This window comes from Homo sapiens, chromosome 6 (assembly GCF_000001405.40).
Source record: "Homo sapiens chromosome 6, GRCh38.p14 Primary Assembly".
Taxonomy (NCBI): Eukaryota; Metazoa; Chordata; class Mammalia; order Primates; family Hominidae; genus Homo; species Homo sapiens.
Genome location: NC_000006.12, coordinates 65,715,721 through 65,738,393, shown reverse-complemented (window position 1 = coordinate 65,738,393; position 22,673 = coordinate 65,715,721). Strand labels below are relative to the sequence as shown.

Here is a 22,673-nt window from a genome sequence, read left to right as displayed (position 1 = left end):
TTCTAGTTAGAATGAAAACAAAAATATAAATACTAGGTAATGGCTTTTCTTATAGTTAGAAATTATAGCTATAGATGCAGTGTATTAAAAATCTTAAAATTCCAGAATTTATTTGGAGGAGGGTAAGGATGTGTAGAATCAAGAAAGTATAATGAAGTAAGAGGAAAACCAGGAAAAAAAAAAGTGGTCTCCTGGCAGAGTAGAAAGTATTTCAAGACTCAAGGAGGGAAAGACTGTATCAAATGTTATTATCAGAGAGTTCATCTTGCTTTGTTACATAAAGATACTATTTTTTTTTTTTAAACAGAGTCTCACTCTGTTGCCCAGGCTGGAGTGCAGTGGTGCAATGTTGGCTCACTGCAACCTCTGTCTCCCTGGTTCAAGCGATTCTCGATTCTTGTGTCTCAGCCTCCTGAGTAGCTGGGATTACAGGTGTGTGCCACAAAGCCCAGCTAATTTTTTTCTGGCTAATTTGTTTTGTATTTTTAGTAAAGTTAGGGTTTCACCATGCTGGCCAAGCTGGTCTTGAGCTCCTGACCTCAAGTGACCCACCTGCCTCAGCATCCCAAAGTGCTGAGATTACAGGGATGAGCCACCATGCCCATCCATAAAGATACTCTTAAAGGAAATATTTCAATAGAAAGTTGGGGGCAAAGATTGTCTGAAGTGGGTTCTAGGGAAAGCAGGAGGAGAGCAAGTAAAGACAGAAAATAGAACACTCTCATAAGAGTTTTGCTTTAAAGCAGAGTAAAGAAATACAGAAGTATCCACAGGTGATGGGGATAAATTAAGTTATATATATATAGAGTATATATATATATATATATGTGTATATATATAGAGAGTGTATATATATATATGTGTATATATATATAGAGTATATATGTATATATATGTGTATATATATATAGAGTATATATATATGTATATATATATAGAGTATATATATGTATATATATATAGAGTATATATATATGTATATATAGAGTATATATATATGTATATAGAGTATATATATGTATATATATATAGAGTATATATATATACACACACACATATATAGAGAGAGTGTATATCTATGTGTATATATATAGATATATATATAGAATGATATATATGGAATATATCAGAAAATCTTTGCATACTGCTGAGAATTGTCTAATTAAGAGAGAATAAGTTTGTTGTACGATGGAAAAGTGAATGATTTCTAGGGAAATGGCTGTAAAAGGGCATTTGGTTCTAGTGTTCAAGTGGAATTACTGGTCCTAGAAATATAGACAGTTTTCACCGTAACCCATGGAAAGACAAAGTATGAGCATCCAGATGTGAGGCAGTGTGGCAGGCACAGTAGTGGGAGCATGTAAAATTTCTTGTCTGATAGCTTTTATTTCACAATTATACAAGAAGAGAGAAAAAACCATGAAATGGTATTTTCATAGTGATAGTAAATTGTCTATAGAAATATTATATAATTATGAAACATATCTGATAACTCTGAGGTTGTAGTCATAAATTTAAAGGTGAGCTATTTAGCAATACTGACTGTTTTATCAAACAAATTAAGTTGTAAAGAAGTTCTGTCATGGACTAAGCAGAAAATAGGGTTTGCCATCGTTCGGATATTTAAATAAAATAAAAATGGAATGAGATTACAGATGGCTCTAGGAGAGCAATTGAAATGATGTACACTAGACTGTAAGATGAGTAAGGAGGGATGTGATACGAGGCCAATGGAGTTAGTGAAAAGTGGTAAGGTCAAAGGTTTATATGTTTGATTTATTTTGAAAAAACTGTTGAATAGTCATTTTAGTCTTCAATTTATAAGAAAAGTAGTAGAACTCTCACTTGAGTTACTATCTCACTGTTCCCTGATCCTGCTGTCCATCTGGTCACTATGATGCTGCTGACAGTCTCAGGGAGTCAAGTCTGTGTGTGATTTTGTACAAAGCTTGCATGTTGCAGTTTCTTTCAATCTTTTGGTTATTTCAGTGATCCTTACATTTTCTCAAACACAAAATAAAACCTGTTTCACAGACTTCTTGACAACCTCACAATTTTGATTGTTGGTTTTTTATTCTCCCAATTCATTCTGCTGTGTTAAATTCTGGTATTTTACTCTTGGTAATACCTTCCTGTATGCTTTTCATTGATGTAAATTTAAGGGGTACAAGTCGAGTTTTGTTCCATGTTTTGTGTGATGGTGAAGTCTGGGCTTTTAGTGTAACCATCATCCAAAGAATGTACATTGTATTCATTAGGTAATTTCTCATTCCTCAACACCCTCACTCTCCCACCCTTCTGGTTCTCCTTTGGACTATTATTCTAGACTCTATTTCCATGTGAATACATTATTTAGCTCCCACTTAGAAATAGGAACATGGGGTATTTGAAATTCTGGTTCAGAGTTGTTTCATTTAAGATAATACCCTTTAGTTCCATCCGTATTGCTGCAAAAGACATGATTTTATTCTTTTTATGGCTGAATAGTGTTTTATTCTGTATATGTACCACATTTTATTTATCCAGTCATTTGTTGATAGATGCTTAGATTGATTCTCTATCTTTACTATTGTGAAGAGTGCTGCAATAAACGTATAAGTGCAGATATAGTTTTAATATGTTGATATATTTTCCTTTCTGCTTTCCATGGATATTGCACTAATTTACATTCCCATCAACAGTGTTTAAGTGTTCCCTTTCCTCATTATCCTCACCAGTATCTTTTATTTTTTGACTTTTGACAATAGCCATTCTGTCCAGGAGAAGATTACATCACATTGTGGTTTTGATTTGCATTTCTCTGATAATGAGTAATGTTGAGCATTGTTTTTCATATGCTTGTTGGCAATCTGTATATCTTCTTTTGAAAAATGTCTATTTATGTCCATTGCCCACTTTTTAATGGGTTTATTTGTGTTTTTATTGTTGTTGAGTTACCTGTAAATTCTGGATATTAGTCCTATGTCAGATGCAGAGTTTGCAAATATTTTCTCCCACTCAGCAGGCTATCCCTTTACTTTGTTTATAATAATAATGATTAATGATAATTATAATGATAATAATTATTATTTGTGGTGCAAAAGCTTTTTAGTTTAACTAAGTCCCATTTGTCTATTTATATTTTTATTTTGCAGTGCAGAAGCTTTTTGGTTTAAATAAGTCCCATTGGTCTATTTTTATTTTTGTTGCTGATGCCTTTTAGTTCTTAGCCATGAACTCATTTCCTAAACCAATGTCCAGAGGTGTTTCCCCTAAGTTTTCTTGTAGTATTTTATCGTTTCAGGTCTCACATTTAAGTTTTTAACTCATCTTCTGTTGATTTTTTATATGGTGAGAGATAGGGGCCAGTTTTATTCTTCTGCATATGACAACCCAATTTTCCAAAATTTCTCAACAAAATACTAGCAAACAAAATCTAAAAATCACATTGAAAAGATAATACACCCTGACTGAGTGGGTTTTATTCCAGTGATGCAAGGATGGTTCAGTATATACAAATCAATAAATGTGATTCATCACATAAACTGACGTTAAAAACAAAAACCATGTGATTATCTCATAGGTACAGAAAATACACTGGATAAAATACAGCATTTCCTTCATGATAGAAAACTCAATGAACTTGGCATAGAAGAAACATCAAGCTGAAAACAAAATCAAGAAGACAATACCATTTATAATAGCTTTAAAAATTAATAAAATACTCTGGAATGTATTGAACAAAAGAAATAAAAGATCTCTACAAAGAAAATCACAAAACAAAGATGAAATAAATTTTAGATGATACAAACAAATGGAAAAACATTTCATGCTAATGGATCTGAAGAACTCATATCTGTTAAAATGACTGTATTGCCCAAAGCAATATACACATTCAATACAATCTCTATCAAAATACCAATGTCATTTTTCACAGAATTTGAGAGAACAATCCTAAAATTCATATGGAACTGATAAAAGAGCCTGAATAGTCAAAGCAATCGTAATCAAAATTAACAACACTGGAGGAATCACATTACCTGACCTCAAATTATAATACGAAGCTATGGCAACCAAAATAGCATGGTGCTGGTATAAAAGTAGACACGTAGATAAATGGAGCACAATAGAGAACCAGAAATGAAGCCACACATCTATAATCAACTGATCTTTGACAAATTCAACAAAAATATGCACTAGGGAAAGGACACATCTCCCTATATTTTTGCTTCTCTATTATTCCACCATATCATCTGTTTTATCCCCTTGAGGAAACACCCATTCTTTGATCCTTCATACTTTTCTAAATCTATAATATTCTTATATCTCATAGAACAAACAGCCTTTCCTTCTATCTGAGGAAAATCTTATTTCCTGTTTCTCCAAGAGCTTCTTCCATCAGTTATCTCATCTATTGTCTTACAGTATCTCTCCATGAACTTAACTATTTGTCAATAAACATAATCAAGTCTTTCTTATTCCCCTTTGTCAAAATATTTTTATACATTCCTTCTCATTATTAGCCAAGTTTCATAAAAGCTCAGTTTGTATACTATGAGTTTATTTGGCCTTCACCCGTGTCTCCTTCTACATCAGTCCAGCACATGTCTTCTCCTGCCACTAATTACTAATTCTTCCTGGTCAGCCCCACCAATTTCTTTCCAATTGCAAAATCTAATGGGTAAATTTTAGTCTCCTTATTTTGCTGAAATTCTTTGATGTGTTGGACTCTGTTCGTACCTACTTTGTATTAATTTCTGTTCTATCTTTGATCTTCCTTCACCGGGTTTCTTTTTACTGTTCTGATCATCTGTTCTTATCATCCTTTGTGTAAATTAAATATGTTCTTCTTTGGACTTTGTGGTTTTCTGTTTGATCCTGCCCCGGTGCTTTTCTCTCTGCATACTAATCTTGACAGTTCTTTCCACTGCATTTATTTTAACTCTTAAAGATTTTCAAATGTCTCTATTTTTGTCTTTGTCTTCAATTTTCAGACACTTATACACAAATTTCTTTTGCATAGACCACATTGCAGAGTTCAGAATCCATAACTTTCTTAGATTGCTTCTAATAATGTGTTATAGAGGTATAACTGTTTATGCACAACGTAAACTAGAATGCTAAACTATGAAATCTCATATTCTTTTTCCATGTATCCATAGCATAATACATTCTGACAGAAATGTTTTCTGAATATTTCTTTTAATGTTTAATGTTTTTCACTTTATTTCTATTTCCACTGCTTTTGTTCAGATCTCATCATATCTCTTTCAGAACAATTTATTTGCCACTATGTAGAGTTAAACCAAGTTTTCACAAGAAGAAAGTTTGAGTTTTTTTTTTAAAAAAAACTGAAAATCAATACTTGTTAAGCATTGCATGTTTGGTTTCCCCTAAAACACATACGTTAGTATTTAACCCCTAATTACATGGTATTAGAAAGTCAGATATTTGAGAGATAATTGAGTCATGCGGGTGGGGCCTCATGATGGGATTATTGCCCTTATAAATAGAGACATAACATTGCCTCTTGTTTTGCTCTCGTATAGAGGTATTTAAGAAGGTATTAGAGGGGTCTACAAGCCAGAAAGCAAGCTCTCACCAAACACCAGACCTATCATTCCCTTAATTTTTGATTTCCCAGCCTCCAAAACTCTGAGACGATAATTTTGTTATAACAGCCTAAACTGACTAATATAATGAGTGTACAACCTGACCACTATTTCTTTTTGTGTGTACATTTACACTGATATCTGCTCCAGTAATACTGAACTTTATGCTGTTCATTTACATACCACTTTTTATCGACTGGATCTTTGCTTGTGACTTTCTCTTCCTGGAAGAGTCCCCCTTACTTCATTTATCTTGCCAATTTTCATTCTTCATTACTTATTTCAAGTAACATTCCCTTCATTAAACCTTCCCTGAAAACTCAGATCATTGTAAGTGCTCTGTCAATCTCACTTAAAAATTTCTGTTTATATATCTGCCACCCCTCCTAGTAGTTGTCATACCTTTTTGGCAGAACTGTGCCATTCCTACAACAATTTACTATCTCAGCATATAGCATGGCACCTGAAACACTGTATGAATGAATACTCATACTAAGTCAAATGAATAGGACTACTTTTGCAGGGTCTCTTTGTTAGTAAAGCTGTACCTATCAGCCTCCAATGATGTAATTTCTGTTTATGATAATAGTTTATATTTCTTGAGTATCTACTGTGTGACAAGCATGCTTCTGAGATTTTTTATATTATCCCTTCAAAGTGATTATTATTTTTGTTTTTCTTATCCCTATTTTCTCAGGTGAGAGAACTGGGTCACAGAGAGTTTGAGGTATTAATGATCACAAAATTAGTAAGAGAGGAAGATTGAGTTCAGCACTTGAAAGTCTTGATCAAATGCAGTTGCTCTGAATCTCTACTCTTGTATGGTGAATTTTCAACTTCAATTTTCTGACTAGAGATTAAAACAAAATATATTACTTTTATTTACTTAGAGGTCAAAGTTAGGTGAGTGATGAGTCTACATTTAGCTATATATACCTATATGTCAATATTAATCTTAAAAAATTAATCTCCACATACAGATAGAGTAATGGTGATCTTTGATTACCTAAATTTGAAATACATAATACCAGTAAATGAGTCTCAAAGAACAAGCACTATGGCTGCAAAAGGCTATTCAGAGGCAACATCCCAGCAGAGACAGCAATCCAATAATGCTCTTACATTTTATTGTTGTTTAATGCAACATGTTATCAAGCATAAGCTATTATAAGACTGCGCGAGGAGAAGCCAAGACAGTAGGATCCAAGAAAGAAAGGTTCAGTGACAAAAAATGGATAGAAAAGTAGGTCCAGGGAATTTAAAATAAGGTGGTCTGAAAAGGCCCAGGCATAGAAGGCCAGGCTTGTACTATACAGCACAGCACATGTGGGAATGCTCGTTGGAGTACCCTAGATCCAGTATAATCTTTTCATTATGAGTGTTACTATGGTTTTAAATCGATTTTGTATGGGGTTTCCTTTTGAGCTTTTAGGAAATTTTGGCAGTTCAAACTGAATTTCCTACCGGGAAATAAAAATCATTTTCCCCTTTTAGACAGACATCCTCTGTTACCTGACATACATAATACTTCAAGTTCATGGGGACCAAAAGAGAATATACAGAGGTCACTCACACTCAGCTTAGAAGTTTTGTTTTGTTAAATAAAGTAATACTCAAATATTTTTAGGTAAACTTTATGCTTGTTATTTTATTACAGTCATGGAGTCAAATATTGTCCATGAGTCCTATCCCCTAAATGGAACCCTGAAAAATTACCTGTTGATAGAGAGGTCATAAAGCTCTACAAATAGTAAAATTGGGCATTCTTTCAGGGGAGCTCTAAGCGCATTGTAACCTCATTTGTCTGCCTTTGAACTAAAGATCTCTAGCAGAGGAGACCTGGAGAAGTGATATAGGCAACACTTAAGTGCCACTCTCCAGGCCACGCAGCTTCTGAGGTGCTTTCACTTGTCTCTCCTACACAGTATATTTAAAACCAAAAAACAAGAGAAGCCCTTCCTCAACAATTTTTGGATCTTGGTGTTTAAGAAAAGCCAACTTTAGCTTATTTAGGTTTACTCTGTAAAATGTGAAGCTCGTAAGGTCTTAATACTAATTGTCTTCATTTAAAAATGTGTAGATTCTCAAATTTTTTCTCAATTCAAAAGTTTCTTTACTGAAAATACTGGATAGAGTGAGACAATACTGCTAGGTGTTTTTGGCTTTTTTGGACAATGCTTTAACCTTTTAACTGCTGAATATAGAAACAATAAGTAGCCAGGAATGACCGTCTTCAGCCATATTTGAATTCTAATCCATCACTCATCTAGCAAGGGATTAGACAGAAAATGATATGAATGCCTGTTGCTATGTTGCTTAGCACAACATTCTGTGCATGCTTTTAAAATACTGTAGATCACATTATAGATGTCGTCTTCTTATCAAAACTTTCCCCAAGTAGCCTACTCTACATGCTATAACTTTTGTTTCCTTGTTAAATGGTTATTGAATATCTGCTATGTAATACATTGTAAAACTGGAGACTTTCTCATGAGTGCCCCCTCCTATTTGGCTGAATATAGTTGTTCTTTGGATTAAATAACACTGATAATGGTAACAGTGGTGGCGAGCACAAAGGGAGTGGTGCCTCTTTGTGTGCTTTGCTACTTACAACCCAATAAGTGCTTTGATGTATGTTTATATCAATCTGAGGTGTATATTATAATATTACCAATATGAACACACTGAACCTTATAAAGGTTAAGTGTCTTGACAAAGTCACAAAGCTAATAAGCCATGGAATCAAAATCCAAACTGAAGCTGTCTGATTGCAAAGCCGTTTTTTTTTTTTTTTTTTTTTTTTTTTGAGACGGAGTTTCACTCTGTCACCCAAGCTGGAGTCAAGTGGTGTGATCTTGGCTCACTGCAACCTCTGCCTCCTGGATTCAAGCAACTCTCGTGCATCTGCCTCCCGAGTAGCTGAGATTACAGGCACCCACCACCACACCCAGCTAATTTTTATATTTTTAGTAGAGACAGGGTTTCACCATGATGGTCAGGCTGGTCTTGAACTCCTGACCTCTAGTGATCCACCTGCCTTGGCCTCCCAAAGTGCTGGGATTACAGGCATGAGCCACCACGCCCGGCCATCTTTAACTCTTGTTAAAAATCTTTAATTCTTGTAAAACTGTATCCATAAATCCAAACTCCTTATGGAGTTTGGTAAGTTATGGTAAGGTAAATGCACCCACTTCACTTGATCCCATTATGTTTACCTCATTTTTCTTCCACCTCTGCTCTAATAACATGAGTATAACGTGCACTCATTTTTTTTAATTTCAAAATTTGTCATTGTCTGTGCTCAGAATGACGTCCTCCCCTTTGGCTTTCCTTTTCTTAAGCCTCATCTCTTTCAGGAAGCTTTAAATCTTCCAGGTTATGATTAGTGTCAAAATCTCAGAACATTTAGTTTATGGTTGTGCAACAAAAGACTTCAAGAGAGAAAGAATAGAGTTTAAACTTGCCAGCTTAACTTCCTTAACTCCTCTGGGTTAAGGAGCCATCCAGACGAAGGGGTGGGAAGGAGGCAGGCGCCCAGCAGTGGGTATGCTATCCCCAGGCTGAGCCTCCCTTTCTAGAACTCACTCAGTTCTACTCCATGGGGAAAAAAGCAAGAGGATCAATTTGCTTCCTGTCAATCCTTCAGAAGAAGGAGAACAAAAAGATCTACAAAAACAACCTTGGGCTACAGTGAGATATTGTCTGGCCTGAATTATTGAACTGATCAGGAAGGTTTTTTATAGGGTCCAGAGTACAAAAGAGTAAAAGCAGCTGCTGTTTCACTGTCAAAGGAGGGGGAGTGGGAATATTAAAGTTGCAGATAAACTGGGCCTGAAGTAGTGAATCCCTAAGACAGCAGTGCAGGCACTGATACATAAGACAGCAATCGTGAGTCAGTAGCCTAAGTGAGAATAACAGCCCTGGAGAAGCTTTGTCTTGGTGGCATCAGGGTCATATCAATGTGGCATTTGTCCTTGGTAGTGCCAGCATCAGTGGTAGGAGGCCTCCAGCTACTTAGAAGCTGCTGGACTCTATCTAAGTACAATGGAAACTAAGAGACCACGAGGATGTGAAAATTCTGAATTTACCTTTCTCAACCCCACCATTTTGGAGGTAGAATTCGAACTAAATGAAGTCTGTTGCTACTATGCTATATTAGAAAATATTTATTGCTTTTTGTAAAACCTCAACTGTACCTTCAGACTAATGTAGTCTTATTGAAAACAAAATAAAACCTGCTACTGTTGCTGATTAAGTTTACATAACTTTTGAATGTATTAATACACCTTGACAAATTTTCTTGTAATTATAAACATATTTTATTTCTTTAATGAATAAATATTTATTGAAGTCCTACAATGCTAAGAACCAGGCAGACGTTGGTGACGTGTCTCCTGTATTTATGGAGCTTAAAGTCTAGAGAAGAATCAGAGTAAATAAATAAATAAACAAATATATAATTACAAGTTGTGATAAGATGAATGAAGAAAATGGATAGAAGAAGGGGAGAGCAGTAATGATACGAGGAGTTCAGTAGGTATTTGGATAAGGAGATAAGGGAAGATACTTAGGCTGAGACTTAATGAATGAGAAGGCCTCCAAAACATGTACAGGGCAGAAGGGTGGTTGGAGAGCATTAAGCCCTTTAGGTGGCAAGGTGAGGAATCTGGAGTGGCTGGAGCACACTAGACAAGAGGAAGAACTGAATGAGATATAGACAGAAACTTAGGCAGGGGCTAGGTCAGGGGGAGCTGTGTAGGCCAAGATGGGGATATTAGATTCAGCTTGAAGAGGGGATAAGGTCATGGACTGAAACCAGACTTGGTGAATAGAACCTAGCTTGTAACACTTACTAGATATTTGAACTTTGGGGAAGTTATTTATCTTTTCTGTACCTCAGATTTCTCACCTGTAAATATGGGGATAATAAGCATCTACTTCATAGGCTTGCTTTGAGGAATATTTGAGTTAATGAATGTGAAGTGCTTAGATTAGTATCTTGCTCTGTGTGTGTGTGTGTGTGTGTGTGTGTATGTGTGTTTGTGTGTGTGTCTCAAGGATTTTAATCAGGAGATGATATGGCCAGAGTTCAGTTTTAAAGATATAATCCTTCCTGTCTGGTGGGAAATAGCATAAGGAAAAATTGAAATGGAGAAGACAAATAAGACTGTTTTAGGGTTCTGATATAACACTTTGACATTCAATATTATTCACAAATTCTGCAATACCCTCTATTTGTCCTGTCACTCTTCTATTTTTGAATGCCTTTACTTTGCTTGACTATTTAGTATGAAAGTCATGTGTTAGTGGCACAAATTACCTTGAATGGCTATATCATCCCTCAGAGAACAATTGCAAAGTCTTTTGTTTCTTTTAATTACAAAAATATTTGGAATAAAATTGTTTCTAGCCATATGCGGAAAACTGAAACTGGACCCCTTCCTTACACCTTACACAAAAATTAACTCGAGATGGAGTAAAGACTTAAAAGCAAGACGTACAACCATAAAAACCTTAGAAGAAAACCTAGGCAATACCATTCAGGACATAGGCATGGGCAGAGACTTCATGACCAAAACATCAAAAGCAATGGCAACTGAAGCCAAAATTGACAAACGGGATCTAATTAAAGTAAAGAGCTTATGCACAGCAAAAGAAACTATCATTAGAGTGAGCAGGCAACCTACAGAATGGGAGAAAATTTTTGCAATCTATCCATCTGACAAAGGGATAATATCCAGAATCTACAAGGAACTTAAACAAATTTACAAGAAAAAAAAAATCCCATCAAAAAGTGGGCAAAGGATATGAATAGACACTTCTCAAAAGAAGACATTTATGTGGCCAACAAACATATGAAAAGAAGTTTATCATCCCTGGTCATTAGAGAAATGCAAATCAAAACCACAATGAGATGCCATCTCATGCCATTTAGAATGGCGATCATTAAAAAGTCAGGAAACAACAGATGCTGGAGAGAATGTGGAGATGTAGGAATGCTTTTACACTATTGGTGGGTGTATAAATTAGTTCAACCATTGTGGAAAACAGTATGGCGATTCCTTAAGGATACAGAACCAGAAATACCATTTGACCCAGCAATCCCATTACTGGGTATATACCCAAATGATTACACATTATTCTACTATAAAGACACATGCACACGTATGTTTACTGCAGCACTATTCACAATAGCAAAGGCTTGGAACCAACCCAAATGCCCATCAATGATAGACTGGATAAAGAAAAGGTGGCACATAAACACCATGGAATACTATGCAGCCATAAAAAGAAAGGATGAGCTCATGTCCTTTGCAGGGACATGGATGAAGCTGGAAGCCATCATTCTCAGCATACTAACACAGGAACAGAAAATCAAACACCACATGTTCTCACTCGTAAGTGGGAGTTGAACAAAGAGAATACATGGACACAGGGAGGGGAAAATCACACACCAGGGCCTGTCAGGGGGTGGGGGGGCTAGAGGAGATATAGCATTAGGAGAAATACCTAATGTAGATGACAGGTTGATGGGTGCAGCAAACCACCATGGCACGTGTGTACCTATGTAACAAACCTGCACGTTCTGCCCCTGTATCCCAGAACTTAAAGTATAATAAAAAATTGTTTCTAATTAATTCATCTATTCGATAGACATTTATTGAAATCTAAGTATGTGTTAGAGATTATTCTAGGGGCTTAAAATATATAATGAAGCAAATTCTGTTTTGTGAAATTTATATGTTATTGGGTAAGGCAAAATAGTTACATGACATAGTTGAAAATTCTATACCTGAGAAATAGTTACTCAAAAATATAAAATAAGGATGAATTCCATCACAATCTTTTTTTTATATTTGTCCAAGGCAACCTTAGTGTTCCCCTTAACTTGACTATGCTTCAAAAGCATTTCTTTCTGACTCTAGGCCCTGATGTCCCTTTTCTTTGAGCATTTACTTTAGAAAACTTGTAACTGTAAATTATTTATCTGCCTCTTTGGGAGTAAATCTTCTTAAAAGCCTTTTGCCAGTTTTATGACCTAGGAATGTCTTGTTATACGACCTGAAAGTCATCCCTTTGAAATCTCCAAAGAAGATTGTGCCCTATTTCCCAGTTTCTGAAGGAGGGTAATTGTCTAATCTCTGGTGGCACCGATTAGCGAGCACCGATGCCCTAATCACAGAGAAAAACATTTGCAAACTCAGGAATAACTCAAGGCAGTCCACACATTCCATTGGTCCCCCCTCAAAATTCTCTAGTCTTTCTCACTATTCGCTCCAGAAATTAAAAACCTTCCTTCCTTTAGTTTTAGGAGAACTGAATTAAACTATATTCTGGTGTCTCTCCTGTATTTAAATAGCCTAAAGTCTTCCTTAACACTTTAATTTTCCTTCCTTAACACTCTAATTTGGGGGCAAGTTTTGCTTTGGCATAGGTATATAAAGCTATAGCACAGTTTACAGATAGTTGATAAAATGCAATTTTGTTGTGGAGTTTAACATAATAATCTAAAGAAAAGGAAAAAGTGAATGTGTGTGAGCATGTGGGTGTGTGGGTGTGTAAAATACATTTTCTAAAACAGCATCAATGTAGTCAAAAATTAATGTCTAAAATTTCTGGAGAAACAAAGTTCAGAAGTCTTTATTGTTTTCAGTAAGATAAAAAATGTTCCAAGAATCATTAAAAACTAAATTTAAATCCCTGAAAAAATGAAAACCAAGAGAAATTGATCTTAAAAGAGAAGTGCCTTGACAGTATATTCATACGTGCAACTTATGAGTACAACTTTAAAAGATTTGTGTCTTTAAATGTCAATGTATACCAAAGCATATTGGAAGTATAGTACATAAATTACGTTAGTCTGGGCATAAGGTATCTCTAAGTAATGAAGTAATTTTAAATCAATGCATTTAAAATTTAAAGTAGTCAATGGGGAAATTTAATTGTGAAATTCATTCTTATTATTTTAACTTGACATGAATTCTGTCAACTAGTTTGAGCCAAATTACCATATATATTAGACCTATTCAGGTGGTAGACAAAAATTACATTAATTTGGGTTTTAAGAGAGACTTGCAGGCTTTAACATTTTAAGTTCAAGAAATGAAGGAATGCATAACTGTAATGTATAGCCTAAGTGATAATGAGTTAATGAGTCTCAGTGCCTTACAAATAGTATTCCTCACCTTGGACATACAGGCAGTTGGTATTTAGTTGGTACTAGCTAAAGAAGCAAAAATACACACAAAAAAGTCAGGAGCCAGAGTTTTTCCTTTTGAGTTAAGTGAGATGACTTGGCAGCTGACATCAGTGATTTAATATCTAACAGACATTTCAGTAGCCCCGATGATTTATCCTATATATCACTGAAGAGTAGAAAAATAAATGTACATCACATCTGCATGACAGTGATAAACACAATTCAATTTCTGAATCTATGACAAGAGCAGAAGAACCTGCTTGAAACTAAAATTAGGCGTATATTCAGGCTATTCTGCCTGTAAATATTGCGTGTTAATTTACCTTTGTTCAGAGAACCTTTTTGAATTAAATTGTAATGGAAACAACTTGTGCAAATAGTTCTACCTTAAATAATTTGTGTTCTGATGTTTAAACAGTATTTACTGTACTATCAGATTATCCATTAAAGAAAAGAAAGTATTCATGATATCATTAAAAATCACCAAAATATACTAAAAACAAGTTTTAACTGAACTGTTCCTGATAAGGTAAAATTAAATATAAAGACACATATATAGATGGGAAAACTGAAATAACTTAGCAATGGTATTCTGTTATCCCTATTACATTTTTCAAGGCTGTTATTTTGCAAGATTTCGGCAAATTCATTGCATGTTTTGTTAAAATTAAAATGTACTAAGAAGTCCAATAATAAAGATCCTCCTATGCACATATATACATATCTGGCTATGAAAAAACTTTTCTATAATTAATTAGTTGCACACAAGTTAAGCTTTGTTAACCTAAGCCCTATTATTGTTAGCTTTAATGTAGGCAAAGAAAGAAAGACAGATTTGGAGTATGAAGAATTGCTTGGGATGCATGTGCCTCAGTAGGGGAACGCATAACTAGGAACAACCTCAAGGCTACACAAGGACAACAACGGGGAGATGGCTTGGGATGGTAAAAATAAATCACAAAAGGGGATGAAGAATGAGTTCACAGATAAACAGGACTCACTTAAGATGCTTAATAATTTTCTCAGTATTATTGTCTAATTAAATCCTTGTTGACTTTTCTGTTTATGTTTCGTAGAGAATCTGTAGTTTATCAAGAAGATTACACAACTAGCTGTGTAATTAATTACATTCCTGACACAATAGGAAAATATAAACTTCATATTTTTTGATACAAAGGATAGAAGTTGTCTCTATTTTTGGTAGAAGGAAGTATTCGAAGTAAAAATTAAAAAGTTTCCTCAGGATCTTGTGAATATGGTTTGTATTTGCATGGCTGGGAAATTGCAAATAAATGCATTCTGGCTAGAGTCCAAAGGAACCTAAAATTTTATTTAACACATATTTCTCATTAAAGAAAAAAAACCTGTTCCAATGAAAATAGACAGATACTTCTAATTATTTCCCTTTTATATTAATAAGTAAAAATACTTATTTATTTTTTTTTTGAGACAATCTTGCTTTGTCACCCAGGCTGGAGTGAGGTGGCACGATCTTGGCTTACTGCAACCTCCACCTCCCAGATTCAAGTGATTCTCCTGCCTCAGCCTCCCCAGTAGCTGGGACTATAAGCATGCGCCACCATGCCCAGCTACTTTTTATGTTTTTAGTAGAGATGGGGTTTCACCATGTTGACCAGACTGGTCTTGAACTCCTGACCTCAGGTGATCTGCCCACTTCGGCCTCCCGAAGTGCTGGAATTACAGGCATGAGCCACTATGCCTGGTCTAAAAATACTTATAATAGAGTAGTTACTCCATTAATACTGGAGTAATGAGCCTTAACTGTCGATGGCGCTTATGACCACCAAGATGTCTGTGATTCAATACTTTACAGTATAATGTGACCAAATAAAACAAAGTTTTTCAATGATTTTTAGAAATAAGATATTTTTATGAATGAATATAATGTTTAACTTACCTTTATCATTTTTATAGAAATATACTTTGATCAATATTTAATGCAGAGCATTTATTTTGTACTTGCAATCTTAGTATACTTATAGAAAGTGTCACACATAAGATACATTAAAGTATTATCTCAGTGAAGTAAATTTTATTAAGTACAACTTTCTCTTAGTCATCATTACCTGAATGAAAAATATATGATCTCCTCAGTGAAGTCATTCTCAAAACTTGAGAATCTGGGCTAGTTAACATAAAATATTTAACATCATTGACTTGAATACCCACTTTTCAAAATTTAGGTCTAGAATAACTACTTAGCTTTTAGTGAATTAAATTTAATACAGCTCAGAAGGATTTTATTATATAAAAGGCAGTAAACTACTTAAGACAAACACAACTCACTGATATTATCTAGGAAATTGAAATAGTAAGAAAAAATGAGTAAGAAAAATAGAAAAAAATTAACAAAATTCCTGTTTGCCAATGAAAGTAGAAGATACTAAAAGGCTTAAGTTAGATGCCTGTAGATAAAATAAAATCTTTTTTTCATAGAAATATAGGAAAAATTTATAATCTATGAACAGTTAAAAATGTGGTAAAGGGTAAAGCAGGAGACAGGAGCAGTTGCTTCAAGTGCAGGCTATAGTAAGAAATATTTCATGGTAGTAAATGGTTAATTAAGTGTAGTTTAATAATGGCTAATATTCAGGTCTGAGTTGCTGTTTATACAGTACAATACTATCAGTTTTCATCATTTTCCTTAAATCGTCAGTAAAATATTCCACAAATACCACAGCCTCATTTTAATGGTATTTTGAAAAGTCAGGAGTTGGGGTAACATCTATTGCTGATCAATATTGTCTGGAAATGTAACACCAATAGGAGTCAAGAGCAGAGATGCAGAACTTGGTGGAAGTGAAAGGCTAAAGATTACAGGAGAAAGACATAAGGAATCATAGTAGACTCACTCCCAACAATCCAAGAATAAATTATGGAATATACTTGTTCTCTCAATATATGAGGATTCATGTTGTCTTAATTAACTACTAAAGAAGAGGGATACCATCTTATACCAGTCAGAATGGCTATTGCTACAAAGTCAAAAAAACACAGACACTGGTGAGATTACAGAGAAAAAGGAACACTTATACACTGTTGGTGGGAGTGTAAATTAAACACTTATACACTGTTGGTGGGAGTGTAAATTAATTCAACCATTTTGGAAGTCAGTATGGTGATTCCTTAAAGACCTAAAGACAGAAATACCATTCCACCCAGCAATCCCATTACTGGGTATATACCCAAAGGAATATAAATCATTCTATCATAAAGATACATAAACGCATATGTTTTGTATCACTAGTCACAATACCAAAGACATGGAATCAACCTAAATGCCCATCAATGATACACTGGATAAAGAAAATGTGGTACATGTATACAATGGAGTACTATTCAGCCATAAAAAAGAACAAGATCATGTCCTTTGCAGGGACAAGGATGATCTGGAGGCCATTATCCTTAGCAAACTAGCGTAGCAATGGAAAACCAAATTCCACATGTTCTCATTTATAAGTGCAAGCTAAATGATGAGAACACGTGGACACATAGAGGGGAACAACACACACTGGGGTTGATCAGCAGGTTGAGGGTGGGAGGAGGGAGAGGATTAAGAAAAGTAACTAATGGGTACTAGGGTTAATATCTGGATGATGAAATAATCTGTAAAACAAATTCCATGACACAAGGTTACCTATGTAACAAACCTGCATTTGTATGCCTGAACTTAAAATAAAAGTTAAATTTAAAATAATAATAATAAAACAAAAAAGAAGATGGTTATAGCAATACTTTGAAGAAACTTAGTACCCAGAGGCAACAGACATTTTGTTTCCAATTACATATATGAATATGTTATACTAAGATTAGTGAATGACTATTAGATATCTAGTTCTAAAAATAATGCAGTTTTATCTTTGTTGAAGTTTAATCATTATGACTACTAGCTATAGCTATTCCTGTGTATAGGTAGAGAGTAATAGAAAACAGATATCTTTCAAAAGTTATCTTAACAAAAAGCCTGAAAATAATTAAACTTGGAAACTATTTCATAGAAGTGTGTGTGTGTGTGTGTGTGTGTGTGTGTGTATAAATTCCAGTGAAATTTCACAGGGACCTTTCAAATATTGTCTATTTTTAAAAGCCTTTATCAAATCATTTCACTTGAAATGTTCATTCATCTGTCTGCTTAATACCCATTCTTATACAAATATCTGTATTGCATTCTGTGTGGAAATTTTCTTAACCTTTTTTTTACTATTCTCATAGGTAAGCAATTGATTCACAATTTCAAATAAAAAATGTAAACAACCCTGATTTTGGCATTTGTTTTTGAAATAAAAAGCTAAGACCAAATTTACATATGACAAAAACAGCAGTACATTCTAAATCAGCAAAAAATCATTTATTTATGATTTGTATTATTTGTATGTACCCCCAAGTAATACCGATGTTGTTAAAAAATTAGTTTTTGTTGTTGCAATTGCCTAATACTTATTTTTATGCTCAAAGCAAAATATTAATGTAACAATATTTAAATGAATAATTCTCATTTTTGATGTCAGAGTTAACTTAAGCATTGAACATCATGTGTTTTCAAAAATATGGATAACACTATATACTTTGCCTAAATACAATAAAAATATATTCTTAATATTTAGTAGGACATGCGTACAGTCAATTAACTTCTTTATAAAAATGATACTGGAATTTGAGTATGAAATTCTGTAGTGGAATATACAAGTAATAAAAAAAGGTGCAATTTGCAATTACTAAAACTTGATCAATCAGTTTTTTAGACTGTGTTTATTAAAACTTCAACTTTGGCTTAATTTTAATTTAAATCATTGCATTAATTAGTAATCTGTAACTCTCTTTTAGTAAGTAAAATAGTTGTTTTTCTTGGCAACATGGAAGCTTTAGTAAAAGTTTATTAGGTATGTTGCCCTGACATTCTATTTCTCTGAAAGGATGATCAGGTTAAGATGTCACAACCTTTTTACTGAAAATGCCAAAAATGCACACTTATTAAAACAGCTCTCAATTTCCCATATGAAGATAATAAAACTTATGTCCTCTAAAGTTTACCCATTTATTTGACAGACAATTAATTTGTAGATGAATTTTATTTACTTCTAAACCACCATGTAAATGCATGCTTATTATTGGTGTATGTAATAGTCTGTTCTCACACTTCTGTAAAGAAATGCCCAAGACTCGATAATTTATAAAGGAAAGAGGTTTAATTGACACAGTTTCTCATGACTAGGGAGGCCTCAGGAAACATACAATCATGGCAGAAGGGGAAGTAGGCACATCTCACATGGTCGCAGGAGGGAGAGAGAGAGAGAGTGTTTAAAGGAGGAACTGTCAAACTCATGAAACCATCAGATCTTGTGAGAACTCACTAAAACAAGAACAGTATGGGGGAAACTGTACCCGTGATCCAATCACCTCCCACCAGGTTCCTCCCTCTACACTTGGGCATTTTGAGGATTACAATTCAAGATGAGATTTGGGTGGAGACACAGAACCAAACCATATCAGTGTAACTAATCACAATTTTAATAGTGTGTATGTGAATCTGATAAATACAGGCTATAAAACTGTACAACATGTTACTATAATGAATATTGTAGGCAACTGTAACACAATGATAAATTATTTGTCTACCAACACCTATCTAAAAATGAAAAAGTACACTGAAAATATTGCATAAAATATAAAATACAGTACACCTGTATAGGGCACTTACCATAAACGGCACTCATAGGACTGGCAGTTGCCCTGGGTGAATCAGTGAATGTGTGGTGAGTGAATGTGAAGGCCTAGGACATTATTGTACACTACTATAGACTTTATAAACACTGTATACTTATACTACAGTAAATTTAAAAGATTTTTTAAATAATAAATTAACCTCAACTTACTGTAACATTTTTACTTTATAAACTTTTAAATTCTTTTTTAACTTTTTGACTCTGGTAACAACACTTAGCTTAAAACAAACACATTGTACAGTTATACAAAAATGTTTTATTTCTCCATATACTTATTCTATATGTTTTTCTCTAATTTTAATTTTTAATATATTTTTACTTTTTAAATTTTTGTTTAAAACTAAGAAACACACACATTAGTCTAGGCTTACACAGAATCAAAATCACCAAGATGCCACTAGGTAATTTAAATTTTTTAGCTCCATTATAAACTTATGAGATCACCGTTGTATATGCAGTATATTGTTGACTGAAATTTTATTATGTGGTGCATAACTGTACTTACTTTGTAAAGTTGCTATTGTGAGAATACAGTTGTATATTATGTGAAAATGCTAACATCAGGCGTGACAAAAATTAGGTACTCAAAAATATTCATTTTATTTGTCCTTCTCTTTCTTTTCTCTTGACCCTTTGCTTATTGTTTTTCTTTTTAATACACTTAAAATTTTTCAAATTATTTCTGGTATTAATGAGAGGTTTAATTAGTCATAGCATTTTTATTGAAATTATCCTTCTTAATGCCATGATTATTAATATATGGATAATGAATCATTGTTATTTTCAAATGTTGAAGTCAGTAATTCTAAGTCTAGACCTAGAAAATGTAAAATTTAACTAATTAAAAAGGAGGGTGGCTTTGCAGTTGTATTAGTTTGTTTTCATGCTGCTGGTAAAGATATACCTGAGACTGGGCAATTTACAAAAGAAAGAGTTTTAATAGGCTTACAGTTCCACATGGCTAGGGAGGCATCACAATCATGGTGCAAAGTAAAAGGCATGTCTCACATGGTGGCAGACAAGAGAAAAGAGCTTGTGCAGGGAAACTCCCCTTTTTAAAACCATCAAATCTTGTGAGACTTATTCACTATCACAAGAACAGTATGAAAAAGACCTGCCCCCATGATTCAGTTACCTCCCACCAGGTCCCTCCCACAACACATAGAAATTCAAGATTAGATTTGGGTGGGGACACAGCCAAACCATATCATGGCACCTCAGGCTCCTCCCAAATGTCATGTCCTCACATTTCAAAACAAATCATTCCTTCCCAACAGTCCTCCAAGATCTTAACTCATTTCAGCATTAACTCAAAAGTCCACAGTCCAAAGTTTCACCTGGACAAGGCAAGTCCCTTCTGCCTATGAGCCTGAAAAATTAAAAGCTAGTTAGATACTTCCTAGGTTCAGTGATGGTACAGGCATTGGGTAAATACAGCCATTCCAAATGGGAGAAATTGGCCAAAAAAGAGGCTGCAGGCCCCATGCAAGTCTGAAATCCAGCAGTGCAGTTAAATCTTAGAGCTCCAAAATGATCTCCTTTGATACCATGTCTCATGCCCAGGTCACACTGATGCAAGAGGTATGCTCCCACAGCCTTGGGCAGCTTCATCCTTGTGGCTTTTGCAGGGTCTGTCTCCTTTCTCAGCTGCTTTCATGGGTTGGCATTGAGTGTCTGGCTTTTTCAGGCACACCGTGGAAGCTGTGAGTGGATCTACCATTCTGGGGTCTGGAGGATGGTGGCCCTCTTCTCACAGCTCCAGTAGGCAGTGCCCCAGTAAGGACTCTGTGTAGGGGCCTCACTTTCATCTGCCAAAGGCAGGAATGTAATCTTAAGCCCCTCATCTCAGAAGGCATCCTGCCCCATATTCTGGATGAATGAGTGCTGCACAGAGAGATGAAGAAAAATCTGAACAGAGAGGCCTTGCTGGGTTTCCCCATGTGGTCTATTAGTGTTAGATCACACCTCTTTTTTCCAATCACATTTCTACATGGTTGTCAATCATGCTTATGTGATGAAGCTTCCATAAAACTCCCAAACCTGGGTTTGGAGAGCTTCTGGACAGCTGAACATGTGGCAGTTTCTGGAGGGTGGTACACTGAGTGAGGTCATGAAAGCTCTTCACCTATTTCCTGATAACTTACTCTAATCATTTCTTTATCTGTATCCTTTGTAATACCCTTCATAATAAACTGATAAACATAAATGTTTCCCTGAGCTCTGTCAGCCATTGCAGCAAATTAATTGAAGCCAAAGAGAGGGTTGTGGGAACCCCAACTTGAAGCTTATTGGTCAGAAGATCTGGAGGCCCAGCCTTGTTACTGGTGTGTGAAGTGGGGAAGAGGGTGAAGGGCAGTTTTGTGAAACTGAACTCTCAACCGGTGGGATCTGATGCTGTCTTTAGGTATATAGTGTCAGAATTGAATTGGAGGTCACCCAGTTGGTGTCCACCGCAGAATTGATTGCTTGGTGGTGAAGAGAAACCCGTGTACATTTGGTCACAGAAGTCTTCTGTGTTGACTGTTACAATCAAGTGAGAGAACAGAATAAAACTCTTTTGAGTATATTTATTACGCTCAGTGTGTGTGTGCATGTGTGTGTGTATATATATATATCTCACATATATAAAACATTATCTGTCTATATGGTACTGTACTATATATGTACATGTGTGTGTGTATATATGTGTGTATATATATGTGTATATACATGTGTGTATATATATACTGTGTGTGTGTATATGTGTGTGTGTGTGTGTGTGTGTGTGTGTATATGTAAATATATATATAGAGAGAGCTCCTTCTATGGTTCTGTTTCTCTGGAGAACCCTGGCGAATACAATGATGTTTTAGGCAGCTTTAAAAAGTATTTATCAAGTTATAATTTATATCCAGAAAAATTTATCATCTTTAGTGTATAGTACACAAGTTTTGACAAACACATATAGTTGCACAAACACCGCCCAATCTAGATATAGAGCATTTCCAAGACCTCAAAAAGTTTCCCTCATCTGTTGGTAGTTAACCCCTCTATTTTCTGTTGCTACAGTTTTGTCTTTTCCAGAATGTGATATAAATTGGTCAGTTTTACTTAAGAATAATATAGTATGTGAAGATGAGTAGAAAATAAAACTGAAAC

At 34.7% G+C, this 22,673-nt stretch overlaps 3 annotated features.

Annotated features, from left to right (window-relative positions):
• Positions 5,215-5,384: an enhancer, noted in NCBI's record as "experimental_93582 CRE fragment used in MPRA reporter constructs". NCBI's record gives its function as "activates a minimal promoter by MPRAs in K562 erythroleukemia cells, with activity observed for the non-introgressed 6:66442988 or rs2636121 variant allele {active_cell/tissue: K562}" and the evidence as "EXISTENCE:reporter gene assay evidence [ECO:0000049][PMID:34662402]".
• Position 5,299: a transcriptional cis regulatory region, noted in NCBI's record as "Neanderthal adaptively introgressed variant 6:66442988 (GRCh37/hg19 assembly coordinates) or rs2636121 in the experimental_93582 CRE". NCBI's record gives its function as "modulates activity of the experimental_93582 enhancer by MPRAs in K562 erythroleukemia cells {active_cell/tissue: K562}" and the evidence as "EXISTENCE:reporter gene assay evidence [ECO:0000049][PMID:34662402]".
• Positions 15,091-15,260: an enhancer, noted in NCBI's record as "experimental_93502 CRE fragment used in MPRA reporter constructs". NCBI's record gives its function as "activates a minimal promoter by MPRAs in K562 erythroleukemia cells, with activity observed for both the introgressed and non-introgressed 6:66433112 variant alleles {active_cell/tissue: K562}" and the evidence as "EXISTENCE:reporter gene assay evidence [ECO:0000049][PMID:34662402]".